This window comes from Homo sapiens, chromosome 3, assembly GCF_000001405.40.
Source record: "Homo sapiens chromosome 3, GRCh38.p14 Primary Assembly".
NCBI classification, from domain to species: domain Eukaryota; kingdom Metazoa; phylum Chordata; class Mammalia; order Primates; family Hominidae; genus Homo; species Homo sapiens.
In genome coordinates this window covers 138,059,821-138,079,170 of record NC_000003.12, presented here as the reverse complement: position 1 = coordinate 138,079,170, position 19,350 = coordinate 138,059,821, and the positions used below count along the sequence as shown (strand labels likewise).

Genomic DNA, 19,350 nt, shown 5'->3' with positions numbered 1-19,350 from the left:
GGAGGTTTTACTTGCTTACTACACTGTTTGTCTACCTCTTCCTGTCCCAGACCAGCAGGCAAGAGCATCACTTGGGAATTTTTTAGAAATGCAAAGTTGTAATTCTCAGGCCCCATGCCAGACAAACTGAAGCAGAAACTCTGGGGGCAGGACCCAGCAATCTGTTTTCAGACACTCTCCAGGGCATTCTGATTCTTGCTCAAGTTTGAGAACCACTGTGAGACCAGTGGCTGTCTACAACTGGCTAAACATTAAGAATCACCCAGGAAGCTTGAACTGTCTGGAGGACCACGCTACACCCCCACATTACCTAAAGCAGAACATGGAGTGGGTGGGTTCCAGGCACCAGTAGCATTTAAAGCTCCGCAGGTGATTCCAATGTGCAGACAAGGTTGAGGCTCATGTCCTGGTGTAAACTTTATTGAGCAGAATCACGCAGGGTCAGAGGTGAATGGGTGGTAGGGGAGGAGTTATTATAACCCAGATTTTTGGGTTCCACCTGTAGAATTTTTGATGCAGTAGATTTGGAGTGGGAGCTGAGAATCTGCATCTCACAAGTTACCAGGTAATGCTGATGCTTTGGCTCACAGTTAAGGACCATTGTCCTAGAATCATTGTTTCTCAGGCTTCGCTGTTTATTAGAATATCTAGAGAATTTAAAATATAAATATCAAGCGTTGGGGTCCACCTTGAGAGATTCTGATGGAATCAGCCTGGGGTGATTCCAACTCGCAGCCAGCAGTGAAATTCACCACCCTTGATTGTGAGTGAGGTCCTTGGGGGACGAGAGATGGGCTTCTGTGTCCTTGGCATCCAGCCCTAGCCTGATTACACTCATGCTGCTTGTTCAGTTAATGTCTACTGAGTGAGTCAAAGGGCTTGGTCCTGGTCTTACCACAGAGGCCCCCAGATGGAACCTGAAGAACACCGTAGGAGGCCTTCCCTGACTCACCTTGGACTGCTCCTTTGTAGCACTTACCACATTTAATTGTAATTGCTTATTTTGCTAGCCTCAGGTCAGTATTTCTTAAAGTATAGTCTGTGGCTTACCTCCATCAGAATCATCTCAGTATGTTAAAATGTAGATTCTAGGGTCCTCCCCCAGACTTATGGAATCAGACTCTTTGGAGGGTGAGGTGAGGGACTATTAATTTTTAACCCATGCCCAGGTGATTCTGATATATGCTAAAGTTAGAGGGAGAATCTCCGGTTTAGACAGTAAACTTGAGGGAGCAGCGATCTGTCTATCTTGTCCACCAGTTTATCACCTGGACCAGAATTGAGCCTGGCATGGAAACGAGATGAGGGTATCAGGTGGGGCTAGGATTAGGCTGGAACCCACAGCAGTGGGGCCTGGAATCTGAGATCAGAAGGGAGCCCAGAGAGCAAGCTGCTTTAAGGGCTCAAGTGCAATCTCCAAGTCCTGAGTTAACCGACCAGGATTCCTGGCAGTGTGAGGGCTCGGCAGGTGCAGTAGGGCTCTGGGAATGGAGAACTCAGGTGCCCAGGCTGATCTGGGTGAATGTCTCATGCTACAGAGATGGAGGACTCCCAGGATGAACAGCACAAGGTGCTGGCAGCTCTGAGGCGTAACCCCACTTTGCTGAAGCACTTCAGACCAATCCTGGAGGACACCCTGGAAGAGAAGCTCGAAAGCATGGGGATAAGGAAGGTGAGTTTCAGGGCCATCGTTTTAAGGGCTGATACCTACGATTTAGACACTAAGTGTTCTCAGACAGACAAATGATCGATTGTTCTTTGCATTGTGAGCTCATTCATCTCACTTGTGGCAGCCCGGGCTCCTCTGGCATCTGCACGCCTTTCTCACTTCACAGCGGCAGTGTGATATCTTTCCTCTGTTTCTCCAGCAGCTTCTCAAGACTGGCCCTATTTGGCTGGCGATACTACCCTGAGTCCTGATTGCTCAGTGTTCTCCACTCATTGGTTACTTCCCTCTGTGTCTCTAAATTTTTTGCTAGAGGGAATTTAATTGGCTCAATCTGGCCTGTGGATAGGTCCCCCCTTGGGTAAGTATCCATCTGCAAGCCCATCATCTGTGGTACATGTGGCTGTGTCCACTCAGCAGGTGGCTGTGTGTGGGCATCACTGAAAGCTGTGTCTGACACCAATTATTTGTTTTTTTTTTTGAGAAGTAATAACTTATATTTTCCTATAGTTTTTTAGCAGTTACATGTATGTATGTATATACATGTATGTATGTATATTTTATTTTCAGATAAAATATCTGAAATTTAATTTTTTATTTCAGTGGGTTTTTGGGGAACAGGTGGTGTTTGGTTACATGAATAAGTTCTTTGGTGGTGATTTCTGAGATTTTGGTGCACACATCACGTGAACAGTATACACTGTACCCAGTGTGTAGCCTTTTATCCCTCTCCACCCCCATGCCCTTTCCCCCAAATCCCCAAAGTCCAATGTACCATTCTTATGCCTTTGTGTCCTCAGAGCTTAGCTCCCACATAGGAGTGAGAACATACGATGTTTGGTTTTCCATTCCTGAGTTCACTTAGAATAATAGTCTCCAATTCCATCCAGGTTGCAGCAAATGCCATCATTTTGTTCCTTTTTAGGGCTGAGTAGTATTCCATGGTATGTATATATATCAGTTTCTTTATCCACTCATTGATTGATGGGCATTTAGGCTGGTTCCACATTTTTGCAATTGCAAATTGTGCTGCTATAAACATGCATGTGTAAGTATCTTTTTCATGTAATGACTTCTTTTCCTCAGTGTAGATACGCAGTAGTGGGATTGCTGGATCAAATGGTAGATCTCCTTTTAGCTCTTTAAGGAATCTCCACACTTTTCCATAGTGGTTGTACTAGTTTACATTCCCACCAACAGTGTAAAAGTGTTCCCTTTTCACCACATCCATGTCAACGTCTATTAATTTTTGATTTTTTGATTATGGCCATTCTTGTAGGGGTGAGGTGGTATCACATTGTGGTTTTGATTTGCATTTTCCTGGTAATTAGTGATGCTGACCATCCCCACTCTGGGAAGCTCCCTCCTCATTTAAGGACAGTCTGGAGTCCTTAGGACCTCCAGTGCTGCTACCCAAGGCTTCTGGGCCCACTCCTCAGCCACTCGTCCTGATCCATTGTCTCCTTGGGTTTGGATTATTCTTGTTTCTCCAGTTCCATGAGGTGTGACCTTAGATTATCTATTTGTGCTCTTTCAGCCTTTTTTTTTGAGACGAATCTCGCTCTGTCACCATGCTGGAGTGCAGTGGTGCGATCTCGGCTCACTGCAACCTCCGACTCCCTGGTTCAAGGGATTTTCCTGCCTTAGCTTCCTGAGTAGCTGGGATTACAGGCACGTGCCACCCCACCCAGTAGAGACGGGGTTTCACCATGTTTGCCAGGATGGTCTCGAATTCCTGATCCACCCACCTCGGCCTCCCAAGGTGCTGAGATTACAGGCGTGAGCCACCGCGCCAGGCCGCAGACTTTTTGATGTAAGCATTTAATGCCATGAACTTTCCTCTTAGCACTGCTCTTGCTGTATCCCAGAGGTTTTGATAGGTTGTGTCACTATTATCGTTCAGTCAAAGAACTTTTAAGTTTCCATCTTGATTTCGTTGTTGACCCAACGATTATTCAGGAACAGGTTATTTAATTTCCATGTATTTGCATGGTTTTGAGGGTTTCTTTTGGAGTTGATTTCCAATTTTATTCCACTGTGATCTGAGAGAGTGCTTGATATAATTTCGATTTTCTTAAGTTTACTGAGACTTGTTTTGTGGCCTATCATCTGGTCTATCTTGGAGAATGTTCCATGTGCTGATGAATAGAATATATATTCTGCAGTTGTTGGGTAGAATGTTCTGTAAATATCTGTTAAGTCTATTTGTTCTAGGTTATAGTTTAAGTCTATTGTTTCTTTGTTGACTTTCTGTCTTGATGACCTGTCTAGTACTGTCAGTGCAGTCTTGAAATCCCCCACTATTATTGTGTTGCTGTCTATCTCATTTCTTCGGTCTAGTAGCAATTGTATTATAAATTTGGAAACTCCAGTGTTAGGTGCATATATATTTAGAATTATGATATTTTCCTGTTAGACTAGTCCTTTTATCATTATGTAATGTCCCTGTTTGTCTTTTTTAACTGCTGTTGCTTTAAAGTTTGTTTTGTCTGCTATAAGAATAGCTACTCCTGCTCGCTTTTGGTATCCATTTGCATGGAATGTTTTTTTTCCGCCCCTTTACCTTAAGTTTGTGTGAGTCCTAATGTGAGTTTAGGTGAGTCTTCTGAAGACAGCAGAAACTTGGTTGGTGAATTCATATCCATTCTGCCATTCTGTATCTTTTAAGTGGAATATTTAGGCCATTTACATTCAATGTTAGTATTGAGAGGTGAGGTACTATTCTATTCATTGTGCTATTTGTTGCCTGAATACCTTGCCTTTTTTTTTTTTCGTGTATTATTGTTGTATAGGTCCTATGAGATTTATGCTTTAAGGAGGTTCTGTTTTGTTGTATTTCATGGATTTGTTTCTGTATACATGTGTAACAAACCTGCATGTTGTGCACATGTACCCTAAAACTTAAAGTATAATAAAAAAATAAATTAAAAAAGAAGATTTAGAGATCCTTTTAGCAGTTCTTGTAGTGCTGGCTTGGTAGTGGCGGATTCTCTCAGCATTTGTTTGTCTGGAAAAGACTGTATCTTTCTTTCATTTATGAAGCTTAGTTTCACTGGATACAAAATTCTTGGCTGATAATTGTTTTGTTTAAGGAAGCTAAAGAATAGGACCCCAATCCCTTCTAGCTTGTAGGGTTTCTGCTGAGAAATCTGCTGTTAATCTGAGAGGTGTTCCTTTATAGGTTACCTGGTGCTTTTGCCTCACAGCTCTTATGATTCTTTCCTTCATCTTGACTTTAGATAACCGGTTGACTATGTGCTTAGGTGATGATCTTTTTGCAATGAATTTCTCAGGTGTTCTTTGAGCTTCTTGTATTTGGATGCCTAGGTCTCTAGTAAGGCTGGGGAAGTTTTCCTCAATTATTCCCTCGAAGATGTTTTCAAGCTTTTAGATTTCTCTTCTTCCTTGGGAATAACAATTATTCTTAGGTTTGGATGTTTAACATGGTCCCAAGCTTCTTGGAGACTTTGTTCATTTTTTTAAAATTCTTTTTTGTCTTCTATGGATTGTGTTAATTCGAAAGCCTTGTCTTTGAGCTCTGAAGTTCTTTCTTCTGCTTGTTTGATTCTATTGCTGAGACTTTTCAGTGTATTTTGCATTTCTCTAAGTGTGTTTTTGATTTCCAGAAGTTGTGATAACTTTTTATTTATGCTATTTCACTAAAAAATTTTCCTTTCATCTCTTGTATAACATTTTTTGTTTCTTTAAGGTGGGCTTCACCTTTCTTTGGTCCCTCCTTGATTAGCTTAATAATTGACCTTCTGAATTCTTTTTCTGGCAATTCAGAGATTCGTCTTGGTTTGGATCCATTGCTGGTGAGCTGGTATGATTTTTGTGGGTGTTAAAGAACCTTGTCTTGTCATATTACCAGAATTGTTTTTCTGGCTCCTTCTCATTTGGGTAGACTATGTTAGAGGGAAGATCTGGGATTCAAGAGCTGCTGTTCAGATGCTTCTGTCCCATGGGGTGCTCCCTTGATGTAGTGCTCTCCCCCTTCCCCTAGGAATGGGGCTTCCTGAGAGCTGAACTGTAGTGATTGTTTTTGATCTTCTGGGTCTAGCCACCCAGTAGAGTTACAGGCTGGTACTGGGGAGTGTCTGCAAAGAGTCCTGTGATGTGATCCATCTTCAGGTCTTGCAGCCGTGGATACTATTCCAGCACCTGCTCCAGTGGAGGTAGTAGGGGAGTGAAGTGGACTCTTGAGGGTCCTTGTTTTTTCTTTTTGTTTGTTTAGTGCATTGGTTTTGTGTTTGTTGGCCTCCAGCTAGGAGGTGGTGCTTTCAAACTGTGGTCCTATAGGGAGGATGCATACTTCCCTACTTGCCCTAGGGACACCTGGTTAAGTATTCAGGTTTCTCAGGCGGTGGGCAGGGCCATACAGCTCCTAAGGGATTATGACCTTTGTCTTCAGCTACCAGGGCGGGTGCAGGAAGACCACCAGGTGGGGCCAGGGATAGACGTGTCTGAGCTCAGCCTCTCCTTGGGTGTGGCTTGCTGCAGCTACTGTTGGGGATGAGGGTGTGTTCCCAGTCCAATGGAGTTATATTCCCAGGGGGATTATGGCTGCCTCTGCTGAGTCATACAGGTCGCCAGGGAAGTGGGGGAAATCTGGCAGTCACAGGCCTCAGCCCATCTCCACGCAGCCTGCGGTCCTAAAGTCCGGTCTCACTCGCACTGTGCCCCACCAACAGGAGCAAGTCTATTTCCAAGCAGCCAGTGACCAGGGCTGGGAACTTGCCCCAGACCACAAACCTCCCCATTGAGAAAGCAAGCAGACTCAGGTTTTCGGCATCTCAGGGAGTCTGCAGCAGTGATCCAGTTCCTTTACAGGGTCTATGGATTCTCTCTCCAACTAGTATTTGAATGCCATTGTGCTTAACCAGAACACGTATGTTATTATTAGAAGCACCAATGAAATCTATTATTAAATAAAAACACACCTATTATTAAATTAGCCAAGCATTACACTATTGGAATGCTGTTTGTGTAGAGTAAGTTAGAAAAAAAAAATAGACAACTAGGGTTATTTTAGGAAGAATGGTCACTACTTTGATTGTTTTCAACTACTGACTACTCTAACTTTGGCCCTATATTCAGATTTGATTAAGACATTCCTTTCTAACCTTGCATGAATCCTCATCTTGGATTCAGATGCCTCCCTGGACCCTCCCATGGGCTCTGGGTGGATGTCAAAAGCTCGAGCAACTTCCAATAGGTCTTGAAAGGGTACTTGGATTGTGTTTACAGCAGTTTAGTTTTTTAAACATTGTTAGCCATGGACAGTGTGTTTGGCATAATAATAGTAATTGGGAGTACAAAAATGAGCAAGCTGTGGTCTCTTATCCTAGGATTCAGTCAGATGGTAGAAAAGCATGTTCCAACGAAGTCCCTTATGCTATGATGTGGTCAGAATTGTGACGCAGTCCTTTGCATTATCCTGCTGTGCACATTTTGATGGGGCTCCCAAACCCTGAACCATTGCACTTTCAGCAACTTTGAAGCCGCTGCTTACCCTTCTCTGATCCTCATTTCATGCCCCCCAGTCCTGCAAGAAAAGCACCAGGCACTGATCACAGACTCCCAGGCCAGCAGCAGCAGGTGTGAGAGGCTTAGGGGAAGGAGAAGAAGGGTAGCCTCTCTCTGTAAAGGTGAACTCCTGTCTCCTCTAGGATGCAAAGGGAATCTCGATTCAGACTCTCAGACACCTGGAATCCCTGCTGAGAGTCCAGCGGGAGCAGAAGGCCCGGAAGTTTTCTGAATTTCTGAGTCTGAGGGGAAAGCTTGTCAAGGAAGTCACCAGCAGAGCGAAGGAGAGACAGGAGAATGGCGCTGTGGTGTCCCAGCCAGACGGGCAGCCTTCAGGTACACTGGGGAGAGGGCTTGCTCAGGGCTGTGACCTGTAAGGGTCCCATTCTTGCCAAAACTTGTTTGCACATGAGGAGGGTATAGTCTCTGTCCCCCATTAGGGGCACTTCTCTGAAGGGCTGAGCTGGTAGGGTCCTTACAGGGGACTGAGTCCAGAAGTTCTCTGTTGAGGAAATAGGATCTGGGGTGGAGTGGGGGCATTTGTCCAGGGTCACTCGGGGAAGTTGGAGGAGAGCCGGAGCTGGAGCCTGTTGTCAGCCTGAACTGTCCCTGTGCAGACATGCTGCCTCCCTTAGCACCTTCATTCTGTTTGGCTTGTTGCGACCACAGTTGAGTGTCTCTTCAACAGAGAGCAGCCTATTCAGTTTCTGGCTCTACACACCAGGCATGCCAGCCTGGGGAGGCAGGCAGAGGCCCGGGAGCATTGAAGCTGCAGGTGGAGGCAAATATCAATTGAATGTAAACTTCTGCAGAGCTCAGATAGCCCCTGCTCTGGCCATGGGAGAGCATGAGAGACTGGGCCAGTTCTGCACGCAGATGAATTCTCAGAGCTCATAGTTGGTTCCTTGGGCCAGGTCATAGCTGCCACTTTACCATTTGTCCATGCTCTGGGGGTCATGACAAGAGAAGGCCCTGTGGTTCTGGTGGAACACGAAATTCTGTGGACCAGGACCCTTGAGTCTGTTCTTACGGAGCAAGTGTATTTGTGTTCCCAGGTTTGAGAGCCCCCTGTTTCCAGAGGGTTCCAAGAGGGTCTGGGCTGCTGTGGTGAGAGGCTCTGGGGAGGGCTTCAGTGGGTCTGGTCTGCTCATGCAGGTGCTGTCCTGCTCCTTTTACTTCGTCTCCTCAGTCAGGGACACATGTGGCCAGAAGGAGGCCAGTTCTGTATCTCCTGTGTCCAGGAAGAACCGATTTGAGCTCTTCATGCAAAAAAATTTTGCAGAGTATGGCCCACGTATCTCTGAGGATATGAGAGATGATTTTAGTTGCTACATCAACCAATCATTTTATAACTTATTTTTATTTTTCCTCATGTGAATTAGAAGAAAATAAGACTAACATAGCAATCCTGTGAGCTCATGGAAATTATTACTTGGACAAGTATCAAGCAGGTATTTTGTGCTTAAAAGCATTGTCATTTTGGCATGAAAATATGGTAAAAAAATGTATTGATGACCTGGGAAACTATAATATTTAGTTTAAACTTCTGGCCTTAAAATCTCTAAGGAAAGGACGGTTTTTATCTTGCATAGAAATCTCAGACAGAAGGGTATTTGTCCTGGTTGCCAATCTGCCTTTTATGCTCCAATTTAAACGTATATCCTTTTGCTCATTCAGTCAAATGTTCATTCATTCATTTGCCCACTCATTCATTTAGTACAGTACTTGCTGAGGTTGACTCTGTGCCAGGGCCTTCCACCTCACCTGGGAAATCAGCCAGGACCAGGTGATGTGATGGAGCCAAGCATGGGGGTGGTGGGAGCTCAGAGGAGGGAGGGGACAGGGACTTGGGGAGGATGAATGGAAAAACCCTCGGAATGCTGGCTTCCAAGAGAAAGCAAAGGTATCTTGCTCCTTCTAGGTGCTACGCCCCACCCACTCCCACACACCTTTGTTCCTGTAGTAAAAAAGCCAGGAGGGAGAGCCCCCTTCGCAGCCTTCCCTTTCCCTGGCCCTGGGGTTCTGCCTTCTCTGGAGATGTTACTGAGTTGTGAGATGAGCGCTGTGTTTTTGTGGCATTTTGTAGACCTTTCCTTCCAGCTCTGCACCTTTATTCTTTTCCTGGGTCCCACAAGTGCTGTCTTAATGCTCACCTCCCATTTCTGCTTGGACCCTGCCTCTTCTGTGGCCTGGGCAAGGCTGTGGGAAGTAGCGGTGAGGGCCCAAGATTAGGGCAGACAGACAACCTGGGTTTGTATTCACCACTTTCTTCCGTGGAGCTGAGGGCAAGCCTCTGTAGGGAAAATGATAGCCTCTGAAGATGCTCGGGGGCCAAGTGGTTGTATGTAAAGTGCTTTTCTTAGTATCTGGTACACAGTCATGGGAAGCTATTGTTATTTTCCCCCAGCAGGCTTGTCTTTGTCTTCCCCTTCTCTTCAGTTCACTCTTTCCTGGAAGCTCCACTTCTGAGTAGACACATTCACTGAGAGCAGTGCATAGCTGGCCCTTGAACAATGCAGGGGTCAGGGGCGCAAACCCCCCATGCAGTTGAAAATTTGCGTGTAACTTTTGACTGCCCCAAAACTTAACTACTCATAGCCTACTGTTGACCAGAAGTCTTACCGACAATATGGACTATTAACACACATTTTGTATGTTATATGAATTATAAGCTGTATTATTACAATAAAGTAAGCTAGAGAAAAGAACATGTTATTAAGAAAATCACAAGGAAGAGCAAATATGTTTACTATTCATTAAGGGGAAGTGGATCATCATAAAGGACTTCATCCTTGTTATCTTTGTGTTGAGTAGGCTGAAGAGGAGGAGGAAGAGGAGGGGTTGCTCTTGCTGTCTCACGGGTGGCAGAGTCGGAAGAAAATCCACGTATAAGTGGACCCATGGCTGTTCAACCCCACGTTGTTTCGGGGTCAACTGTATTTCAAACATTTTCTGATCTTGAATTACTGTAAGAAACTCATTTTACATTGTGACCCAATCCACACATGTCTGACTCCCTGTGATGCACTCTCTCTCTTCTCTTCCCATAAAAACTTGCTGATCCGGGACCGCTCTTGTGGCTATAGGTCTTGATGCAATTTGGAAAACAGAGGGGCTGTGTCCAATTGCCTGCCTTGGTACTGCCTTGCCCCAGACTGCATTTGGGAGGAGGTTTGAGTGGATCTTGATGGTTCATGCAGTCCTGCGGCGACCTCTGGTGGCAGTGGGGTCTTCCTGCAGGACTGCCTGCAGTGCAGCGGCTGTAGCGTGGGTTGGGGAGAGGGTAGCAGCCTTGGTGAAGTCCATCTAGGACTACTGAGCCCCTCTTCAGGCCCGCGGACTCCTGCTGGTCTTCAGTAATGACAACACGACCCTGGAGCACCCAGCTGCTCTCCTGGTCTCTGATGAAACTGTGGAACTGTGGTCCTAGCCTCGAATCTGGCCAGCAGAACACCTGATTTGGCAACAGTCATGAAATCTGCTGTGGTTATTACAGCACGGAGAGGGAGTAATTGTTCATTTCCAGGGTGTTGGAGCCACTTTCTCCCTCCTCTTAGGCTTGAGATCCAGCATGGGTGTACTCCAAAAATCATTCCTTTCTGTGTTTCCAGTCAAAAGCCAGCAGAGCACACTGGTCACCAGAGAGGCCCAGCCAAAGACCAGGACCCTGCAGGTGGCCTTGCCATCCACACCGGCAGAGCCACCCCCACCAACTCGTCAGAGCCATGGCAGCCATGGCTCCAGCCTGACCCAGGTGTCCGCCCCCGCTCCACGCCCCGGACTGCATGGACCCTCCAGCACCCCTCCTTCCTCGGGGCCCGGGATGAGGTGAGCCCCAGACTCTGCCCTCTCACCCCACCTGCAGTGGTGGCTCCTGGATTCAGGCAGTCCTGTTCTGGGCTCCCTCCAGGCTTCTGCAGATAGGAGGGGGGCAGACACATGTGAATAGAAGGTGCCTCAGGTGGGGTCCAGTCTGAGCTCTGGACTTGAGAACCTGTGCTCCCAGCCAAGACAAACCCACCCTCCCCTTACCCATGTCCTCCCCCAAACCCGTTCCCCCTCCAGAGGGGCTGGATCCTCAGATGGGCAGGGCTCTACTAAGGGAGATACTGGTGTGGCTGCTGCACTCCAGGGGTCTCCTGGCTGTCTTCTGGGCCTGAGGGAGGGAGCAGGGCTGGCCCTGAGCAAACCAAACCAGCTTGAAGCGTGGTGAAGTTTGGCTTTTGAAGTTTTCTTTCTGGCCCATGCATCCCTCATTTCTTCTCCTCCTCGTGGCAGCACGCCCCCGTTCAGTTCTGAAGAGGACTCAGAGGGAGACCGTGTGCAGCGTGTGTCTCTACAGCCCCCAAAAGTTCCTTCCAGGATGGTGCCCCGGCCCAAGGATGACTGGGACTGGTCTGACACAGAGACCTCGGAGGAGAATGCCCAGCCCCCTGGCCAGGGCTCAGGTGAGCTGGCACCTTTGGGTGAGTGGGCTGGGACCACCGGTGTAGCCCTTCTCCAGCCCAGATTTCTCAAGGCTCCAGAAACACCCTTTAGCTTCCTTTAGGCTTTCTTATTTGACATCTCTTTCTCTATTTGGCTTGGAAAGGATGGTCCTCCTTCGCCTCAGATATTTTTTTGTGGGATAGCAGAGATATCAGGAGAAAGCTAGAGTTTGAGCAAGGTTTAGTTTTACCCCTTGTTTTGTCATTAAATTGTTAACTGTGGGAGGTTGAAGGGAGCCATTCACCCCTTTTCTCCTCCATGTTCTTTCCAGTAGAGAGTAAACACTGTGGCCAGCTACGGGAGATCAAAGCCTCGCTCTAGTAGTGGTGACAGGGCCCAGGAATGCCTGAGGCATAGGCTTCCTGTTAGGGCTGGATTAGAGGAACAACCCGCACTTGAGGCCAAAGTGGGGGCCCCTCCAGCCTCCCCAAATCCAGATCCCAATCTTACTTGTGTGCAGGGCTGGGTTTGCAAAGAAGACCCTGAGTGTGCAGGCCCTTAAACAGGCAGCTGTAGGGTACACTCCAGCCAGGCTCCAACCCCAGCCACAGGGGCGGGGAGGGTCCGAGAGAAAGAGCTGGCACTGTCTTCTGGATCAGCGGCCCTCCTTCAGGTGCGCCGTGGCCCAGGGTGTGTTGTAGGCCCACCCCTCTGCTTGGCTTCTTCTGTGAGAGAGGGTAGTATGTGGGGAAGAAACTGGGAGGGTGTTTCTCCTATCCTTGTCCATCTCGGTGAGTAGAGCAGAAGTTCCTTCTTCTGTGGAAGCTCGAGGCGTGTGAGAGAAGGCTCTCCCCTCTATGTTGGTGTTGCTGGGTGCTCACCGCGTGCTCAGCTCTGTGTGGATCTCTTCGCACAAGTCTCCTCATTTACTCCTCACAGCACTGATGAGGGAAGGCTGAGCCACACACATCGTGACAGAAGTTGAAACTAAGCCTCATAGACATTATGACTGGCCCAAGACCACAGAACGATGTCATGGCAAGTTGAGATTCTGTATGATGTTTTTGAAGTTAATGTGTTAGAGTCACTGTTTATTTATTTACTTGTAAACCATTTTTCCCCCCAGAAAGAGCTGCCTTTAGCTGTGTTCCCAATGTTAAGAATATCCCCATAGTCTTTAATGCTGTTTGAGTTCATTAGCACCAGATCAAGAGTTGGTGGTCATAGAGTTAAATATCACAGTGGTCAAAGTAGCCTCCAAGGTAAACCTCAGTTACAACTTGAAGGGAAAACAGTTTCCTACCATGAACATTTTGACAAATATAGTTTTCAAGAACACATAGAGTGTAACACACATAACTTTTTGCAACAACTCAATTGTGAAAAATGTGGCTTCCCAGCAAAGCTTGAGACAGAGGAGGCAGCCACAGTCAACCTTTATAGCAGGCTGCCTTTGGGCCATGCAGCCTGTTTCATCATACAGGAAAGCTCTTTGCCCTTTTCAGCCAAGAGACTTAGAAATTCAACTTGTTGGTGGAAAGGGCATTGTAGAGACCTGAGCTAACTGTCATGGTAAGTGGAATGAAAATATTCGTTAAACGTATTATTTTCTATCTAACAGGTTGCAATGACTAGTTGAGCCTCCTTCTTTTCAAAACAACTGTCTACTCCCATTCTTTCAAGATTTTCCTATAAAACTGCCAACTGAGGCCTGTAGCTTCTGGCTTCAGTTGTATTTTCTAGCCAAGGCTGTGTTAAAGAATATGGAATTTAGAGTTTTGTCTTTCCAAGGTCAGTAAGTAGAAACCCTGGGATGTCAGGCTAGGCTTGCGGTCTGCAAATTTCTTGCTCTTAATAGACTCTGCAGTACTTGGCCATGTTTACAGCATAAGCCAAGCCTGCCAGTCCATCAGAATTCACCAGAAACAGATCTTTGGAGAAGTATCGATGCCCACCAGGCAAGGGCAATAGGGTGGCAAGGTCTTGGGACTGGGTGTTAGGAATCTTCAGAGAAAGTCTTGGCTCTGCCACTTACTACCTGCTTGTCCTTGTGCAGGTGGTTTCTGATCCTTTGTTATAAAATGAGGTATTTGGACAAGGTGATTAATGAGAGGGCAAGGAAACAGTGCCTGCTACATCGTAGGCCCTTAACAAACATTTCTTGAATGAATCAATGAGCCAAGGGCTGTTGTAGCTCCAAAAGTCTGCTCAGACCTTGATTTCATTTGAATCGTAGAAGGCTGTAGTTAGCTTCCTGCTTCCTGGTCATTCCTGAGGTTCATACATTACCTTGGTGTGCCAGGCATCAGGGATCTATTTGATGATCTCTGTCACTGCTTAGCTCCTGCTTCCTGCATGGACTTTGCAGAAAGTCATTCTTGCCTGTGGTCCTCCTGTGCTAATCTTTATGATATTTCTTCTTGTCTCTGTATAAAGATGTTGAGGAACTAACTGCATGTTAGTGATACAGTTCATTCCCCACACTGAGCAGAGGTCCTGCCTCAGCCTCTCATTAGAGGGAAGCACAGCTTCCTAAGCCTCTGTCACTAGCCATGTCATTAAGTTTGCACAGTCACATTTTCAGAATATGCCAAGCCTCTGTTCACTGGGTACCTGTTGGCCTGGCCTTCTCTGTCTCCTTTTTTGTGGTTGCTCAGCCTTCTTCCTCCTGGCCCTTCTGCTCATTCCCTCTATCCACACTGGAGCCTGGACATGAGCCACAAAACTGAGATGTTCATTTTCTAGGCTTCTCCCACTGACACAGCCACTTTTTCACCTTCCAGGAACACTGGTGCAGTCGATGGTCAAAAACCTGGAGAAGCAGCTAGAAGCTCCAGCAAAGAAGCCTGCTGGAGGGGTCAGTCTGTTTTTTATGCCCAATGCTGGGCCACAGAGGGCTGCCACACCAGGAAGGAAGCCTCAGGTAGGATGTAGGATGCTTAGAGTTTACTCTGGAATTCTCTACAGAACCAGCTCTGAGTTTGGGGGGCCTGGGGTGAAGGTTGGGGAGGGCCCAGCAAGTGTCATCCTTTGCCCTAGTGGGACATTGTGGGTGACCTCCCTCTGCCCCTGTGCACATGGAGAGATGGCCAGTTTGGAATACTTGTATCCAAGTTAACATTAAAAAGCCTTTTGGTTCATTATATAAGCAATGCTCAGTAAGTTTTGATTGTCCCATCTCCTGCCTCTCGGAGAGCTTCGGAGCTGACTCTGTGTCTGGCATCCTGCAGCAGCTGCTCTTCCAGCCCGGTCTCATCCCACAGTGGGCTCCTCCCCAGTCCCTCACTCTGCCATGGACCCTAACACAATATGTGTGTGGAGCGGACTCCCCCAAGGGTGGTACTGGAGTGGCCTCGCATAGCACATCAGAGTAGGTAACAGCACAAGATGGGAATATTTAGATACCTCTGTTTTAGAAACCTGAGCCTCCTTGCCTCAGACTGTAGCCACCATCAGATTTTCAGACTTAGAGCTCAGATGTTGGGCTTCCCCAGCATCATCAGACCCTCCTCACTGCCCGTCTCTCCTCCATCAGGGAACAACTTGCACACTGCTGTTATTTTTCAAGCAGAAAACTTTAGAGCTCCCTTTACTTCACACTCCTTTCTCACCTTTCTGTATCAAAAAGGTGCATCCTGGGATAATCAGTGCTATTGCTTTAAAATTTCAAGTGGTGGGCAACCATTCTTTGGTTTTTGATAGCACTCCCTGCTCTTTACCACAGTGTGTTTGGTTTACCACACAGCTCCTGTATGTTTGTGAGTAATGCATCCAAATGATTGAAAAGAAAAAACTTGTTCCTTTTTCCAAATTGTGAAAGAGCACCAACAGCCCCAAACAGATTGAGGCGCCGCTCAGAGCATGCTTGCTGCCCTGCACCCTGCATGGGTTCTGATTGGTCGGTCTTACATTCCTGGAGAAGATGCATAGGATGGCTTGTATCAAAGCCCAGGTGGCCAGCAGGGGCACTGAGGACTCCAGAGGGGAAAGCCTGGGCTGCTACGCAGGTGGCTGTGGTCAGGGGGTGGCCTGGTCCCTTGGCTGACTCTGAGCTGTCCTGCTGGCTGCAGTGCAGACCCTTCCAGGCTGAAGGACTCCTGTTGCTCCCAAGCTCCTCTCATGCTCCTTCAGTCAGGATGTTTACCAGACCTGAGGGAACCTGTCTGAGAGGAGGCGGGTCATTAGCCCACAGTGCATTCAGCTCGCGAACTTGGAACAGTCGAGTTTCTGGGCTTCTGGCTCTGTCCAAGAGGGAGTTAAAAATCTGCCCAAAGTTGAAGTGAAAATGAGAGCAACCTTCTCTGCACATAGGCCTTTCCAAGGCACTTGCCTGGGTTTGGTTAGTAGAATTTCAGGGGTATTTGAAATCACCCTGATCCCAGGTCACTAAAGCAGGTTCTCAAAGGCAGGAAGACTTGAGAAGTCAGGAGGAGTAGCATCTCCCTATTGCTTTCTTCCCAGTCTGCATTTGTCCCCATTTCCATTCTGCATTCCCATCCTGCAATGTGCTTAGCTCTCAGCCACCCTCCTCCCTTATCAAAATGCATTTTCTTCTCCCCTTTACCCCCTGCAGCTTTCTGAAGATGAGAGTGACTTGGAGATCTCCTCCTTGGAAGATCTTCCTCTGGACCTGGACCAGAGAGAGAAACCCAAGCCCTTGTCTCGCTCAAAGCTCCCAGAGAAGTTTGGCACTGGTCCACAGAGCTCTGGCCAACCCAGGGTCCCTGCCTGGTGATTCACCCCAGAAGCTAGCTGGCTAGAGGGTTAGCCTGGCTGGGGCCAGCTCAGGTCCACTTCAACAGAAGAGGCTGCTGGGCCTCTTGTCTTCACAAACAACCAAGAGATCATCCTCTTGGAGAGAAGCAGTGCAGGGAATGGATATGATCTCATCCCTCCTGACCTGTGAGGGGCCCTGCTGTAGATGGCCACAGGTGCCTGACTAGGAGCCCCTAGGTCCCCAGGCTTGAGAAAGGGTTAAAATAGAACCTCCAGGTAGTTTTCTTCCTCTACCTCCACATCCCCCCAAGACTGAAAAGAGTCACTAACTCTCTTTTCCCAAGCCTTTTATAAAACTGCAGGAACACTGTGGAGATGGTTCCTATCTGGGGTCCTTTTGGGGACATATGCCTCAGTCAGTCATTCAGTGATTGATCCAAAATTATTTACTGAGTGCCTACCTACTCTGCGCCAGGCTCTCTAGCCTCTCACTACTGAGTTAGGGTGCAGGCAGAGGCTGGGGCAGAATGTTTACAGCCAGTGCCAGCACAAGGTAGTAATCTAGTGACAGAGAACAGGGTGTTATGGGGAGCATATGAGAGGCCATCTATCCCAGCCTGGGTGATCCTGGAGAGTTTCCCAGGGTTGTGATATGTGGCAGGCCTACTCATGGGTGGGAAGGGAGGATGGCCACTTGGCTGGACCTTGTATCCCCAAAGGACCACACGTGTAATTTTTGATATTATTTCCAAAATCAGGTTTTATACATAGCCATTGTATATTTTTAGTGTGAAAAACATTAATATATTATATGCAAACATTTAAATATAGTACAATGTTTTTAACTCTGGTATGTATTTCATTATTTTTGGAGCTTTCAGGGGGTTGGGAGGGAAGGAAGCAACTGCATCTTAATTGTGTCAGTTTAGGTCTTTTGGGACATGGTTGCCAAGATGGAGTTATTGAGGAGCTGCACTTGGGAAAGAAAAGGAGGTGGAGGTAGGATCCAGTGGGGAAAGGCCGCAGACTGCAATGCACACCTGACCACTGTGAACAGAAAGAGAGAAGGAAGCTGGAGGAGCCAGGAGAACTCAGGGCATTGATGTGTTGACAAGGTCTCCACTGACCCAGTGGGGAGCTCCTGAGCAAGAACTGCCCACTTGGGAGTCCCCATTGTGCAGAAATGGCCAGGCTCTCATGCCTGCACTGCACTTGGCCATTGGCTGGGGTGGCCCAGACTGAATGAGACCTTGACTTGAAAGCTGGAGTGAACCTTGGAGTGAACCTGTCAGTCAATTTCATTTCTCCTGGTTGAGTGGCATTTTTTTTTTTTTTTCCTGAAAGGGAGACCTAGCAAAGAACCTCCATCCCTGACACAGCAAAGATCTATTTTTAACTTTTTGTTATGGAAAGTTTCAAACACATATATGAGTAAAGGGAATAGTGTGATGAACCCATGTGCTCATCACTGGGCTTCAAATATTATCAGCTCAACTCAAGGTCAATCTTGTTTCATCTATTACCACCTCCAACTCACCCAGACTTCCTTTGACCTTTGGGTGGTCCTGACACCTGGAGAGGCCTTGAAGTTCTCGTAGGAAGGTGATGGAGGAAACACACTGCAGGGAGCAAAAGGGGTCTGGTGGTGGAGTAGGGTAGCTGGGGGAGGGGGCAGGCTGGGGGTGTTGTCGTACAAAGGAAGCTGCTCAATGAGGAAGCTCAGGAGAGCTGGAGAGCTGATGCTACCAGATCAGCCCACAATCTTGATGGGATGGGAGTTGATGAGTAATTGCTCCAGGCTTCCTGTGCTTCTGTGGGGCACCTCTGAGTTTTATTCTGCACAGTTTCTCAGAGTCCCTTGTGGGATTGAGTGCTAGTTCTCACTAGTATGCAGTTACTATTATTAATGCATAGTTCATCGGCCTTCCTCTTTTCTGTTTCATTTTTCTCACTCCCTTACTTCTTTCTCTTATGAGCACCTCTGAGGTAAATTAATCTGCACCCAAGTCCTTGTTTCTAGCTCCACTTTTGGGGGAATGCAAATGTAAACAGTAAATGTGTTTGGACTTGTGTGCACACACTGGTGATGATTATCAATGAGAATGTCTCTGTTCTTGAATGTTCATCATTACGTTATATGTTTCCAAATGGGTTTTTCTATCTACTTTGGAGGGTTTGACTAACGTATTACTTTGGTGTTTCTATGCTGTGTTCACCCCTTCCCATTTTCAAATATATTTTAAAATTCTTTAGTAAGTTGTATTAGGTCTCAATAGAAACAGAACTAGTAGGATATATGGATAGATAGATACTTATGGGTATTTATTAGCCAGTTTCCCTAATAAATGACAGGGGATTTATTAAGGGAATTAGCTGATGTGATCACGGCATAGGCTGTCTGCAAACTGGAGAATGAAGGAAGCTGGTAGAGTGGCTCAGTCTAAATCCGAAAGCCGGAGAACCTGGGACTGTTGGTGCAGGTCCTGGGGCCTGAGAACCTGGAGTTCTGACATCCAAGGACAGAAGCTGGGTGTCCCAACTCCAGAGAGAAAGCCTTTCTATATAGGCTGGCAGCAGATTGGATGGTGTCCCCCACAATGGGAGAGGGCAGATTTTCCTCACTCAGTTTACTGATTCAAATGCTAATCTCTTCTGGAAGCACCTTCTCAGACCTACTCAGAAGTAATGCTTCACAGCTGTCCAGGTATCTCTTGCTCTCATTAAATTGAACTAAAATTAACCAGCACAAGATTTGCCAGAACTGTGGAACGTATGTAACAGATCATTTAAAAATTAGACAAATGATAAGGTTGATACAGAAAAATTAGAAAATACAGATAATCAAAAAGAATATAACCCACAAATTCAGTCAATTATTGTTAACATCTAGATGTACATGCACTGGTGAAAAAAAAAACTCCTTCCTAGGGTTCAACTATATTCTTCTCTAGCTTGATTTTCTCCTGGAAAACAGATTACAAATGTCTTTATATCAGTACACATGTACATGTCAG

General features: G+C 46.7%; 1 protein-coding gene across 15 annotated transcripts in view, besides 2 other annotated features; it reads left to right on the top strand.

Moving 5' to 3' along the window:
- DZIP1L (DAZ interacting zinc finger protein 1 like) overlaps positions 1-17,181 on the top strand; it is a 53,619-nt gene extending 36,438 nt beyond the window's left edge. For 4 of the 15 annotated variants that reach the window (XM_006713527.4, XM_011512524.3, XM_011512518.3 and 1 more), the window contains 5 exons: positions 1,539-1,672; positions 7,336-7,528; positions 10,804-11,020; positions 11,471-11,640; positions 14,404-14,765. In XM_006713527.4, the coding sequence (XP_006713590.1) occupies positions 1,539-1,672; positions 7,336-7,528; positions 10,804-11,020; positions 11,471-11,640; positions 14,404-14,738 (1,049 nt within the window). In that variant the 3' untranslated portion in view covers positions 14,739-14,765. The other 11 variants (NM_173543.3, XM_047447642.1, XM_005247198.4 and 8 more) reach the window with 8 other exon arrangements.
- Positions 7,943-8,444: an enhancer, noted in NCBI's record as "H3K27ac hESC enhancer chr3:137789569-137790070 (GRCh37/hg19 assembly coordinates)". NCBI's record gives its function as "activates a minimal SCP1, AML or CMV promoter by ChIP-STARR-seq in naive H9 embryonic stem cells {active_cell/tissue: H9 hESC(naive)}" and the evidence as "EXISTENCE:reporter gene assay evidence [ECO:0000049][PMID:30033119]".
- Positions 12,403-12,452: an enhancer, noted in NCBI's record as "active region_20600". NCBI's record gives its function as "activates an Ori minimal core promoter by ATAC-STARR-seq in GM12878 lymphoblastoid cells {active_cell/tissue: GM12878}" and the evidence as "EXISTENCE:reporter gene assay evidence [ECO:0000049][PMID:35858748]".
- Positions 17,182-19,350: the final 2,169 nt, after the last annotated feature.